General features: G+C 41.9%; 1 long non-coding RNA gene across 1 annotated transcript in view; it reads right to left on the bottom strand.

Moving 5' to 3' along the window:
• The window catches only part of LOC124902205 (uncharacterized), a 75,065-nt gene that overhangs the window by 38,651 nt on the left and 23,080 nt on the right, over positions 1–13,334 (bottom strand). Inside the window, exons 2-3 of the long non-coding RNA XR_007061654.1 lie at positions 10,886–11,020; positions 1,559–1,667 (exon numbers count right to left, since the gene is read on the bottom strand). This is a non-coding gene — a long non-coding RNA (uncharacterized LOC124902205). The remainder of the gene's footprint in view (positions 1–1,558; positions 1,668–10,885; positions 11,021–13,334) is intronic.

Here is a 13,334-nt window from a genome sequence, read left to right as displayed (position 1 = left end):
ATTGCTCAGTGACTGATCTACATCCTGTTTTAATTAATCACATGACTTTTTCTGATTTTAAAAGCAATGCATGCTTATTATAGAAACTTTATAACATAAGAAAAAGTATAAAAATGAAACTATGAACCCCCCCCAAAAAGAGAAAGGATACAAAACTGCATATGAAGTGTCCCAATTTTGTAAGAGAACAGTAACAATTTTGCATCTATGAAAGGAACGAAGGCCTGAATGTCATCCTCCCTCAATGTTTTCAGTCTCACCAGCCTGGGAGCAGAAGTGAGCTTGCAGGGGCTCTCTTTGCACCTCTGTTATGGCAGCTCTGGGCCGCTACCTCCTGAGGAGCCATCTGGATCCCCACTGTCTCACTTCCCCCGTTGTTTTTGTGTGTGGCCAGGAAGTGCTCAGATGTCCCCTGGAACTGGAACCCACAGGTCCCAGGCCCTGCACTGCTGCCCCAATGCCACCCTTGAGAGTGTCCAAAAAGAGGGCTGCTAGTCTCTCTGGTCCTTGTGGGGCAGGGTAGAGGGAGGCCCATCCCACCATCCTTTCCCATCCCCAACAGGGCCCAGCCTGAACTCCTCTCTCAGCCAAATCCAAACCTTCCTGCACATGGATCCTGCAAATAGATGCCCCAAGGGGCCACTGTCCACCATGCAGAGGGAAAGCACTGGGTCCCTAAGTATCACACACTCATCCTACACCTGTGGGCACTGAGATGGCAGCTATTTACAGACTTCCTTTTCTATATCCCTGTGCATTTTCTAAACTCTCCACAAAAAAAAAATTAAAATCACAATAAAAAAGAAATCAAGAACAAAAACATCTTAGCATGCTGCATTTATTTAGTGAAATAGTTGGTAAAAGTTTTGCATTTCACAGATTTCCAATCATTATGTAACTCTGTTAAAGTAAGCCCAGAACTTTGGGAGACCGAGGTGGATGGATCAGGAGGTCAGGAGTTCAAGACCAGCCTGGCCAATGTGATGAAACCCCATCTCTACCAAAAATATAAAAAATTAGTCAGGTGTGGTGGCACACACCTGTGGTCCTGGCTACTCAGGAGGCTGAGGCAGGATAATTGCTTTAATCCAGGAGGCAGAGGTTGCAGTGAGCTATCGTGCCACTGCACTCCATCCTGGGCAACAGAGACAGACTCCATCTCAAAAAACAAAAACGAAAAAAAAAAAAAAAGGAAAAACAACACCTCACCAAGGAGTCAGGACATGAAGTTCATACAAGTACTTGGTGAACTTGGGCAATATTGAAAATTTAGGAGGTAGCCACCCAGAAGCTTGTATACTCTGGCAAGGACACTCAGATGCAGTCTGAGGTCCACATGTCTTTGGTTTGCTTTGGTACTGGGCCCTGTTTGTTGTCTGGCAGAAAGCCCAGGGCACCACACAGTGGGACTCTCTCCTCCATCTCTACATTCCTTCACAGCTGAAATGACCCAAAATGAACCAAAAATAGATTGTATATTAGGGGTCTCCAGTGAAATTGAACCAGCAGGGTGCATATAGCTTTACAGAAAGAAATTTATTATAAGGAATTGGCTCACCCGATTATGGAGACTGACAAGTCCCATGAGCTGCAGGGTGAGTCAGCAGGCTAGAGACCCAGGAGAGCTGGTGGTGTGGTTCCAGTCTGAAGGCGAGCAGGCCCAAGATCTAGGAAGAACCAATGTTTCAATTCAAGTCCAAAGAAGGAAATAAAACCAATGTCCCACTTTGAAGGTGGTCAGGCAAGAAAGTTTCCAAAAGCAGTCATCTGAAGAGTTTTTAGAGAAGCCTCTGGGAGGCCAGACATTTTGTTTTATTTAGGCCTTCAAAGACTTAAATGAGCCCACCCACATGGGGGAGTGCCATGTGCTTTGCTTTATTCAGCCTACCAATGTAAACATTAATCCCATCCAAAAGCACCCTCACTGAGACACCCAGAATAAGGTTTGACCAAATATCTGGGTACTACATGGCCCAGTCAAGTTGGCACATGAAACCAACCATCAGGATTTTGGGATCATGGCAGATGGGAGGCAGGACTAGATTGCAGCTCCAGACAGAGCAGCATGGGGAGGCTTCCACTGTGAATTTTAGCTTCAGATCAACAGCAAGAAAAAACCAGCAATCCTGAGAGGACCCACAGACCCTCTGAAGGAAGAAGACTGCTTCTGCCGGACCCAGGAGACACCCCAAATACTCTAAGAGGCAGACAGCCTTGGGCAAGTTTTCAAGCCCATCTCACCCTTGGCCTGGAAACAGACTCAGGGCTGTTGCAGGTGACACAGTGGGAGTGAGAATGGCTCTTTGGTTTGCTGGGAGGTGGGTGAGACCTGTGACTGCTGCCTTTCCCCCACTTCCCTGACAACCTGTATGACTCAGCAGAGGCAGCCATAATCCTCCTAGGTACACAACTGCAGTGACCTGGGAATCTCACCCCCACCCCCCACAGCAGCCACAGCAAGACCTGCCCAAGGAGAGTCTGAGCTCAGACACATCTAGCCCCGCCTGATGGGCCTTCTCTATCCACCTTGGTAGCAGAAGACAAAGGGCATATAATCTTGGGAGTTCTAGGGCTCCACCCACTGCCAGTCCCTCTCCATACTACTACAGCTGATGCTTTCTGGAAAGTGCCACCTCCTGGCAGGAGAAAAACCAGCACAAAAATAGAGCATGAAACCACCATAGGTCAGGACCCTCATGGAGTCCATTGCACCCTCCGCCACCTCCACTGGAATAGGAACTGGTATCCATGGCTGAGAGGATCACATCACAGGACTCTGTGCAGACAACCCCCAGTACCAGACCAGAGCTGGGTAGACTTGCTGGGTGGCTAGACCCAAAAGAGAGACAGCAATCACCTCAGTTTGGCTTACAAGAAGCCACATCCATAGGAAAAGAGGGAGAGTACTACATCTAGGGAACACCCCATGGGACCAAACAATCTAAACAATAGCCTTCAGCCCTAGACCTTCCCTCTGACAAAGGGAATGAGAAGGAACCAGAAAACCAATCATGGTAATATGACAAAACAAGGCTCTTCAACACCCCCCCAAAATCACACTAATTTGCCAGCAATGAATCCAAATCCAGAAGAAATCCCTGATTTACCTGTAAAATAATTCAGGAGTTTAGTTACTAAGCTAACCAAGGAGGGACCAGAGAAAGGCAAAGCCGAATGCAAGGAAATCCAAAAAATGATACAAGAAGTGAAGGGAGAAATATTCAAGGAAATAGATAGCTTAAAGAAAACACCAGAAAAAATTCAGGAAACTTTGGACACACTTTTAGAAATGCAAAATGCTCTGGAAACTCTCAGCAATAGAATTGAACAAGTAGAAGAAAGAAATTCAGAGCTCAAAGACAAAGTCTTCAAATTAACCCAATCCAACAAAGACAACAACAACAAAAAAAGAATAAGAAAATAAGAACAAAGCCTCCAAGGAGTCTAGGATTATGTTAAATGACCAAATCTAAGAATAGTTAGTGTTCCTGAGGAAGAAGAGAATTCTAAAAGCCTGGAAGAGATATTCAGGGGAATAATTGAGGAAAACTTCCCAGGCCTTGCTAGAGACCTAGACATGCAAATACAAGAAGCACAAAGAACACGCGGGAAATTCATCGTGAAAAGATCTTCACCTAGGCACATTGTCATCAGGTTATCCAAAGTTAAGATGAAGGAAAGAATCTTAAGAGCTGTGAGACAGAAGCACCAGGTAACCTATAAAGGAAAATCTATCAGATTAACAGCAGATTTCTCAGCAGAAACCCTACAAGCTAGAAGGGATTGGGGCCCTATCTTTAGCTTCCTCAAACAAAACAATTATCAGCCAAGAATTTTGTATCTAGCAAAATTAAGAATCACACATGAAGGAATGAAACAGTTGTTTTCAGACAAACAAATGCTGAGAGAATTTGCCATTACCAAGCCACCACTACAAGGACTGTTCTAAAAGGAGCTCTAAATCTTGAAATAAATCCTGAAAACACAACAAAACAGAACCTTTTTAAAGTATAAATCACACAGGACCTATAAAACAATAATACAAGTTAAAAGCAAAAACAAACAAACAAAAATACACAGGCAACAAAGAGCATGATGAATGCAATGGTACCTCACATTTCAACACTAACATTGAATGTAAATGGTCTAAATGCTCCATTTAAAAGATACAGAACTGCAGAATGGATAAGAACTCACCAACCAACTATCTGCTGCCTTCAGGAGACTCACCTAACATATAAGGACTCACATAAACTTAAAGTAAAGGGGTGGAAAAAGGCATTTCATGCAAATGGACACCAAAAGCAAGCAGAGGTAGCTATTCTTATGTCAGACAAAACAAACTTTAAAGTGACAGCAGTTAAAAGAGACAAAGAGGGATATTATATAATGGTAAAAGGACTCGTTCAACAGGAAAATATCACAATCCTAAACATATATGCACCTAACACTGGAGCCCCCAAATTTATAAAACAATTACTAATAGACCTAGGAAATGAGATAGACAGCAACACAATAATAGCGGGGAATTTCAATACTCTACTGACAGCACTGGACAGGTCATCAAGACAGAAAGTCAACAAAGAAACAATGGATTTAAACTACACCTTGGAACAAATGGACAGATATATACAGAACATTTCATCCAACAACTGCAGAATACACATTCTATTCAACAGCATGTGGAACTTTCTCCAAGATAGACCATGTGATAGGCCATAATACGAGCCTCAATAAATTTAAGAAAATTGAAATCATATCAAGCATTTTCTCAGACCACAGTGTAATAAAACTGGAAATCAACACCAAAAGGAGCCTTCAAAACCACACATATATATGAAAACTAAATAACCTGCTCCTGAATGAGAACTGGGTCAAAAATGAAATCAAGATGGAAATTAAAAACTTCTTCAAACTGAATGACAGTAATGGCACAACCTATCAAAACCTATGGGATACAGCTAAGGTGGTGCTAAGAGGAAAGTTCATTTCCCTAAATGCCTACATCAAAAAGTCTGAAACAGCACAAACAGACAATCTAAGGTCACGCCTCAAAGAACTAGAGAAACAAGAAGAAACCAAACCAAACCCAGCAGAAGAAAGGAAATAACCAAGATCAAAGCAGAACTAAATGAAGTTGAAACAAAAAAAAATACAAAAGATAAATGAAACAAAAAACTGGTTCTTTGAAAAGATAAATAAAACTGATAGACCATTAGCAAGATTAACCAAGAAGAGAAGAGAGAAAATCCAAATAACCTCACTAAGAAATGAAACGAGAGATATTACAACTGACACCACTGAAATACAAAAGAACACTCAAGGCTACTATGAACACCTTTATGCACATAAACTAGAAAACCTAGAAGAGATGGATAAATTCCTGAAGAAATACAATCCTCCTAGCTTGAATCAGGAAGAAGTAGATACCCTGAACAGACCAATAACAAGCAGTGAGATTGAAATGGTAATTTAAAAATTCCCAGCCGGGCACAGTGGCTCATGCTTGTAATCCCAGCTACTCGGGAGGCTGAGGCAGGAGAATTGCTTGAACCCAGAAGTCAGAGATTGCAGTGAGCTGACATCGTGCCACTGCACTTCAGCCTGGGCAACAGAGTGAGACTCTTTCTCAAATAATAATAATAATAACACTAACAAAAAAAGTCCAGGACCAGATTCACAGTAGAATTCTACCAGACATTCAAAGAAGAATTGGTCCCAATCCTTTTAACACTATTCCACATAATAGACAAAGAAGGAACCCTCCCTAATTCATTATATGAAGCCAAAACCAGAAAACCAAAACCAGAAAAGGACACAACCAAAAAAGAAAACTACAGACTGATACCCTTGATGAACATAAATGCTAAAATCCTTAACAAAATACTAACTAACAGACTCCAACAACATATCAAAAAGATAATCCACCATGATCAGTGGGCTTCATACCACAGATGAGGGATGGTTTAACAAATGCAAGTCAATAAATATGATATACCACATAAACAGAATTAAAAACAAAAATCACATGATCATCTCAATAGATGCAGAAAAAGTATTCAACAAAATCCAGTATCGCTTTATGATTAAAACCCTCAGCAAAATAAGCATACAAGGGTCATACTTTAATGTAATAAAAGCCATCTATGACAAACCCACAGCCAACATAATAGTGAATGGGGAAAAGTTGAAAGCATTCCCTCTGAGAACAGGAACAAGACAAGTATGCCCACTCTCACCACTCCTCTTCAAGATAGTACTGGAAGTACTAGCCAGAGCAATCAGACAAGAGAAAGAAATAAAGGGCATCCAAATCGGTAAAGAAGAAGTCAAATTTTCACTGTTTGCTGACAATATGATCATTTAACTTCAAAACCCTAAGGACTCCTCCAGAAAGCTCCTATAACTGATAAAAGAATTCAGCACAGTTTCCAGATACAAGATGAATATACACAAATCTATACACTAACAGCAACCAAGCAGAGAATCAAATCAAGAACTCAACCCCTTTTACAATAGCTGCAATAAAATAAAATAAAATAAAATACTTAGAAGTATACCTAACAAAGGAGTCAAAAGACTTTCTACAAAGAAAACTACAAACAATGCTGAAAGAAATCATAGATGACACAAACAAATGAAAACACATCCCATGCTCATAGATGGGTAGAATCAATATTGTGAAAATGACCATACTGCCAAAAGCAATCTACAAATTCAATGCAATCCTCGTTGAAATACCACCATCATTCTTCACAGAACTAGAAAAAAACAACTCTAAAATTCCTATGGAACAAAAAAGAGTCCACACAGCCATAGCAAGACTAAGCAAAAAGAACAAACATGGAGGCATCACACTACCTGATTTCAAACTATACCATAAGGCCATAGTCACCAAAACAGCATAGTACTTGTATAAAAATAGGCACATAGACCAATGGAACAGAATAGATAACCCAGAAATAAACTGAAATACTTATAGCCAACTGATTTTTGACGAAGCAAACAAAAACATAAGGTGGGGAAAGGACACCCTTTTCAACAAATGGTGCTGGGATAATTGGCTAGCCACATGTAGGAAAATAAAACTGGATCCTCATCTCTCAACTTATACAAAAATCAGCTCAATATGGATTAAGGACTTAAAACTAAGACCTGAAATTATAAAAATTCTAGAAGTTAACATTGGAAAAACCCATCTAGACATTGGCTTAGGCAAAGATTTCATGACCAAGAACCCAAAAGCAAATGCAATAAAAACAAAGATCAATAGCTGGGACCTAATTAAACTAAAGAGCCTTTGCACAGCAAAAGGAACAGTCAGCGGCATAAACAGACAACCCACAGAGTGGGAGAAAATCTTCACAATCTATACATCGGACCAAGGACTAATATTCAGAATCTACAATGAACTCGAACAAATGAGTAAGAAAAAAAACAAACAATACCAACAAAAAGCGGGCTAAGGACATGAATATACAATTCTCAAAAGAAGATATACAAATGGTCAACAAACATATGAAAAAATGCTCAACATCACTAATTATCAGGGAAATGCAGATCAAAACCACAAATGCAATACCACCTCACTCCTGCAAGAATGGCCATAATCAAAAAATCAAAAAATAGTAAATGTTGGAATGGATGCAGTGAACAGGGGACACTTCTACACTGCTGGTGGGAATGCAAACTAGTACAGGCACTATGGAAAACAGTGTGGAGATTCCTTAAAGAATTAAAAGTGGAACTACCATTTGATCCAGCAATCCCACTATTGGATATCTACCCAGAGGAAAAGAAGTCATTATTTGAAAAAGATACTTGCACATGCATGTTTATAGCATCACAATTCACAATTGCAAAATCATGGAACCAACCCAAATGCCCATCAATCAACGAGTGGATAAAGAAACTGTGGTATATATACATACATATATATATACACACACACACATATACATATATACACATATACGTATATATATATATACGATGGACTGCTACACAGCCATAAAACAGGAACTAACAGCATTTGCAGTGACCTAGATGAGATTGGAAACTATTATTTTAAGTGAAGTAGCTCAGGAATGGAAAACCAAACATCATATGTTCTCACTGATAGTGGGAGCTAAGCTGTAAGGATGCAAAGGCATAAGAATGATACCATGGACTTTGGGGCCTTGTGGGGAAGAGTGGGAGAGGGGTGAGGGATAAAAGACTACAAATAGGGTGCAGTGTATACTGCTCAGGTGATGGGCACACCAAAATCTCACAAATCACCACTAAAGAACTTACTCATGTAACCAAATACCACCTGTACTCCAATAACTTATGGAAACATAAAATAAAATAATAAAAATATTTTTAAAATAAAAATAAAAAATAGATAAAATAAAATAAACTTCAAGAAAAATTCTATCACTTTCTAACTGTTCCTCCCTGAATGTAGTATGAAAATAAATGTCAAATTAAAAAAAATCACTCGTTGTTTGGGCAATGCAAGCTGTCATGCACAAAAGGGGACTGAAGGCTGCTTGTCTTTGCTTAGGCCTCAAAGCTGTCCTTGATGACAATGGGTACCCATTCTTCTTTTCAGTCATCACTAAGGCAATGTGGGTGTGAGAAACCTGAACACATCATTCACGTCCTGCCGATGCACAGGTGCTTCTGGATCTGCCCACACCACACACTTTTCCATGGCCTTCAAACCCGTCCATATGGTAAGTGCTTCTGATGCAGGAGGACCTTGCATATACTATCTCATTCAATCTCATAACAGCACATGCCTTATGGGTTTTCCTGTTTTCAGTTTATAGATGAGAAAACTAAAGGCTTCAATACATTGCATGAGTGAGCCAGAATTACGGAGTCTGGAGTCCAAGTTCCTGTAGGACCTGCGAGTGCTCCTGGGCAGTTATGTAAGCAGGCTCAGCCCCGTCTGTGTGGCCAGCTGAGTGCCACACCTGGATGAAGAGGCTGCAGGGCATGCTTCGGCACCAAAGGAATGCCCGCGTGACCCTCGGCTTCTCAGCTTCATGCCCCAATGCACATTGTGCCAACAACATGGCAGCTGGCAGACTTCCTCCTGGAGTGTCTCCTGAGGGTGTCTGAGCAAAATCCTGAGGCGTCTTGCAAATGGTGAGCCTGGTGTGACACCTCCAGCTGCCTGGGCATCCGAAGATGTTTCAGAGCAGCTAGACCAGCTTGACAAGAATCCTTAAAAAGCTCTTGCACTTGACCCCTAGGGCACTCATTGAAGGAGGCTTTTTCAATGATGGATGACACAGACATTCCTCCCAAAAAACTGACTCACGTGGGGACATACTGCTCCCTGGCAAGCCCGTGCATCACTGCAGCATCGCACATTACACTTGAGGACGCCATTAAAATGGCTGAGTCCAAGCCTGTGGGAGGCACTGTACCACGCCTCCTCATCCTCCTCACCTCAGATCTTGAGCTTGCCTTTGTGAGTCTCTGGAAGAGACATTCACACCCTCCCCAGCTGGTCTACCACACCTTGTGGGAAGCTTCCCAGCTCCTTGTGGGAAGACAAGGTTCAGCGCTGCCTCTGACAATATGCAAGGCCCAATGTGTGCAGGTCTGGGTCAGCCCTCGTAAGGCTGGCAGTCTTACCAGTGATGTGTCTTTGTTGATAGCTCTGTAGACATTTTTTGTCTCCATTCACGTAGTCAATGCAGTATCATAACAACATGAAGATGGTTCTGAATTACAGCACATAGAGTCAGAATGCAGAAAACAAAGAGTTTCACATTGGGAGGTCCACAGAATATAGACAGGAGATAAGAACGCTGTTTCCCAAGGCATCTCTCCTGGTCCCAGTGGCTCCTCTTGCCACAATTCCTGCCTCCACGAAGTGGTGAGTCCCATTTCTAAAAATTAGAGTCTCCTTGAAAGTCATAGATGAGTGAACCACGACTGCATGACCCAAAGGAAGAAGACTCAGGTTCTGTTATGGAATTCCAAAAGAAACTTGGGCAAGTCACTGCATTCTTAAAATAAGAGTCTGAACTCAAGGTTGACAACTTCAAAGACAGCAACACTTACTAAGTATCAGATATGATTGGGGGATCATTATTTACTCATAGTTGATGAGACAGCAGAGAAGAGAGATGAGTCCAGGTGGCCTCTGGAGGAAAGGGAAGGATGGGGCCATGGGAGGGGCCTTCTTGGTGCTGGATACAGGCCTCAAGGGCTGACCTGGCAGTGGAGCAGCTCCTGGATGGGGAGATGCTGGCACAGAGCTTCAGGCAAGGCTCAGGGGCTGCAGCCCATGCTTGGGAGACAGACTTGGCTCATGATCCTGCAGCTAAGGGCTCACACCCGTGGCAGGAGCCCTAAGTTCAGCTCTGCAGCTGGGCTTCCCAGTAATTGCTCATGCCCAGCCTGATGGAATATGCTACCATTCACCAGCTTCCAGAGTACATTGTTTCACAGAGGGCTTGTTTGTTTCTTGACCAAGAGCCATGGTGGGGGAATGGGGTCAACCTTTTTTCACATGACCTGCATAGAAGGCCATAGCCACTCCACTTGGTGAGGGCTGGGTGAGGAAGGCCATAGCTTGGACATTGAGGGGATCCTTTACACACATACCAGGAAAGTAGGCAGGGATTTTAACCTGCACCTGTTGTTCTATGTGCTTTTTAGAAGCTACAATCAATACCTTGACGGTACAAGTGTTCTCTATTATTAGCTAAAATAAAAGAGTGATGCATCTGTGGAGCTCTGTTTCTACAAGGCATCCCTCCTGGTTCCTGTGTTGGGGAAGAAATGGCTATGCTTGGAAAGCCATGTAGAGGATTGACTCACATGACTCAGATGTGTGAGAAGCGTGTTTCCTCGCATGGGTGTGCCCAATCAAGCTCACCTTGTTTGGTGTCTCCTCTACCCTCGTGATAGAGAGATAGAAGCAAGTGTCCCCAGAAGAGCCCAGGGAATGGCGAGCACATCCAGCTTCTCTGCTTATCACTCCATGGTTCTCTCAGAGCCTCAGTTGCCTTGTCTGGAAAATGGAGGTAAACAGTAACACCTACCATAAATGGGGTTGTCATGAGGACTCTGAACAGGGACTGTCACACAGCACACACTCAGTAAGTATCAGCACTGTTATTGATTAAAGCGGAGCTTATCCGTTTGATTCGAATCACTTTTTCAGCTAAATAGCCCTTTGGGTAAGACAAGTGCAAAGTTGAATTGCTCAGCGTCATTCCTCACCTCCCTCCTGCCTGCCCAGGTGGAGTGGGAGTCTGCACACCCTCAGGGAGATTGCTCTGTGTCTGGGCTCTGGGGCAGAACAGGTTCCATTGAGTGGTGTTTGGTCTTTTCCTCAAGCTCCTGGTGCTGTGTCAGCCAAAACAAGGCTCATTTTTCCTTTTGGACTTCCTGCCAGCCCCTGATGCTGAAGCCCAAGGTCTGACATTTCTTTCTCCACTCACTGACCTCCTCACACTCTATGGCCTCCACATCCCAACCTCAAGCCTCTGACCATCCAGTGGTTTCTTCATTAGCTCACGCCTCCTGTCCAGGGCATTTGGGACCCCTGGGTCACCTGTACTCAACAGGTGTGCCTTCAAGTGACCAGTTGGCTACCTCAGGTCCATCTTTCTAGACACCTCCTTTGCTCCTGCTGATCAGCCAGCCGGGGCATGGTGGGAGGGGCAGGCAAGCTATCCCTCAGCCCACCTGGGCTTCTAGAAAGAGTTTTCCTTATAACCCATTTTTGCCCAGATGTAGAAGGATAGGGTGCTAGGTCACTTATTAAAGATTCAGGGAAGTCTCCAATTTTCTCTCTCTTCCTTCCATGCGTTAAGGGGACATCCCATTCTGGTCTGATGGCAACCTTTCCTATATCATATTTCTTACTTCCTTACCCCTAAGCATATCTCTGTCTGCTGTCCCTTCTCTTCTGGGTAATAAACATGATTCTCTTGATCATAATGACAGATGGGATGCAGGGTTAGGTAAATACTGATTGCCTGGCAAAGAAAATATATCAGGAAATATAAAATTATGGTTCCCATTAATATAATGAATAATCAGAGGATGGAATCATGGTTCATTATTATAAAGATGTCAACCCTACACTATTGTTAATCTATTACAATCATTTAATAATAGAAAATATTTTCATTGGGAAGACAGAAAGAACTATTTTGAGTGGAAATATATAAAGAATCCTTAATTTCTTCCACAGACTAGATCAGAAGCCTCTAAATGTAGAATCTCCTGCTCTTTCTAGTTGATTTGTCTGTGTCAGGACTTGACATGTCAAAAAGCATATCAATTTGAAATTCCAAATGAAGAAGATATGTCCAAACATTCCTTCTATTTAATATCTGGATTGGCTTCGAAATCAAAGTTGATATTGAGTGAGCAGAGCCATGTCTTTGGAAAGGGCAAGTAGACAAACTTTGATTTCTTCAATGTGTTAGGGGCTTTTGTTTTAAAGTAGGGTACAGAAAGAGGAACATTCAACATTGAATATAAATATGGGCACCATCGATGCTGACACCTGGTACAACACTGTCCAAATCTGAATCACAGGTGGTGAAGACAGCTGCTCAAGTCTGCAAAACTCCTGAATTTGGATTTCTTAATTCAGAACTTGGAAATAATCTAGGTTCCACTTGTTACAGAGTTTGAGTTGGTACACTATACAAAGGGTTTATCATACAAATTAATGCCAAATCCAGCGCTGTGTAAATAATATTTAGCCTTTGTGAATCAAAGTGCTTAAGCATTTAAAATAATATGTAAAGAAATGAAATCATGTGCCCAATAAAAGTAACGCTAATGTATATATTAAAGCAGATCCCATGGAGAGAAGTCTGTTTTAATCAGGTCAGATATCTCTAAAGACCCATATTTTTTTCATGTTAATAATTGAATTCAAGCAACAGGTTGTTTTGAAAATTACTAGTCGTTAACCAATTAACAAGTAAAATTCAAAATATAATAAAAGGACGTGAAGAAAGTTGTGTTCCAAATTTTACCAGAAAAAAAATATTATCTTGATGGTGCAATGAATGTCAGTGGAGAATGAAATGTCAGAGACCTTGGGTTTCAGCATCAGGGGCCAGGCAGGAAGCCCAAAAGGAAAAACGAGCCTTGTTTTGGCTGACACAGCACCAGAAGGGAAAAAAATGCTTTGTTTTAAGCTTTTCTTCTTAGAAAATTAAATTATTTTATTTGTTTTTCTATAATGAAAGGATGTAACTCCTGAGTGTACCAATTCGTTAAATCACTCTGCACTCTGCACGTGATTCTGCAGTGAGGGTTCTGTTTACTAAATTAATCAGGAATTCTGATTCCAATAT

The sequence above is a fragment of the Homo sapiens genome, chromosome 9, assembly GCF_000001405.40.
Source record: "Homo sapiens chromosome 9, GRCh38.p14 Primary Assembly".
Classification (NCBI taxonomy): domain Eukaryota; kingdom Metazoa; phylum Chordata; class Mammalia; order Primates; family Hominidae; genus Homo; species Homo sapiens.
This window is presented reverse-complemented; position numbering and strand designations above follow the sequence as displayed.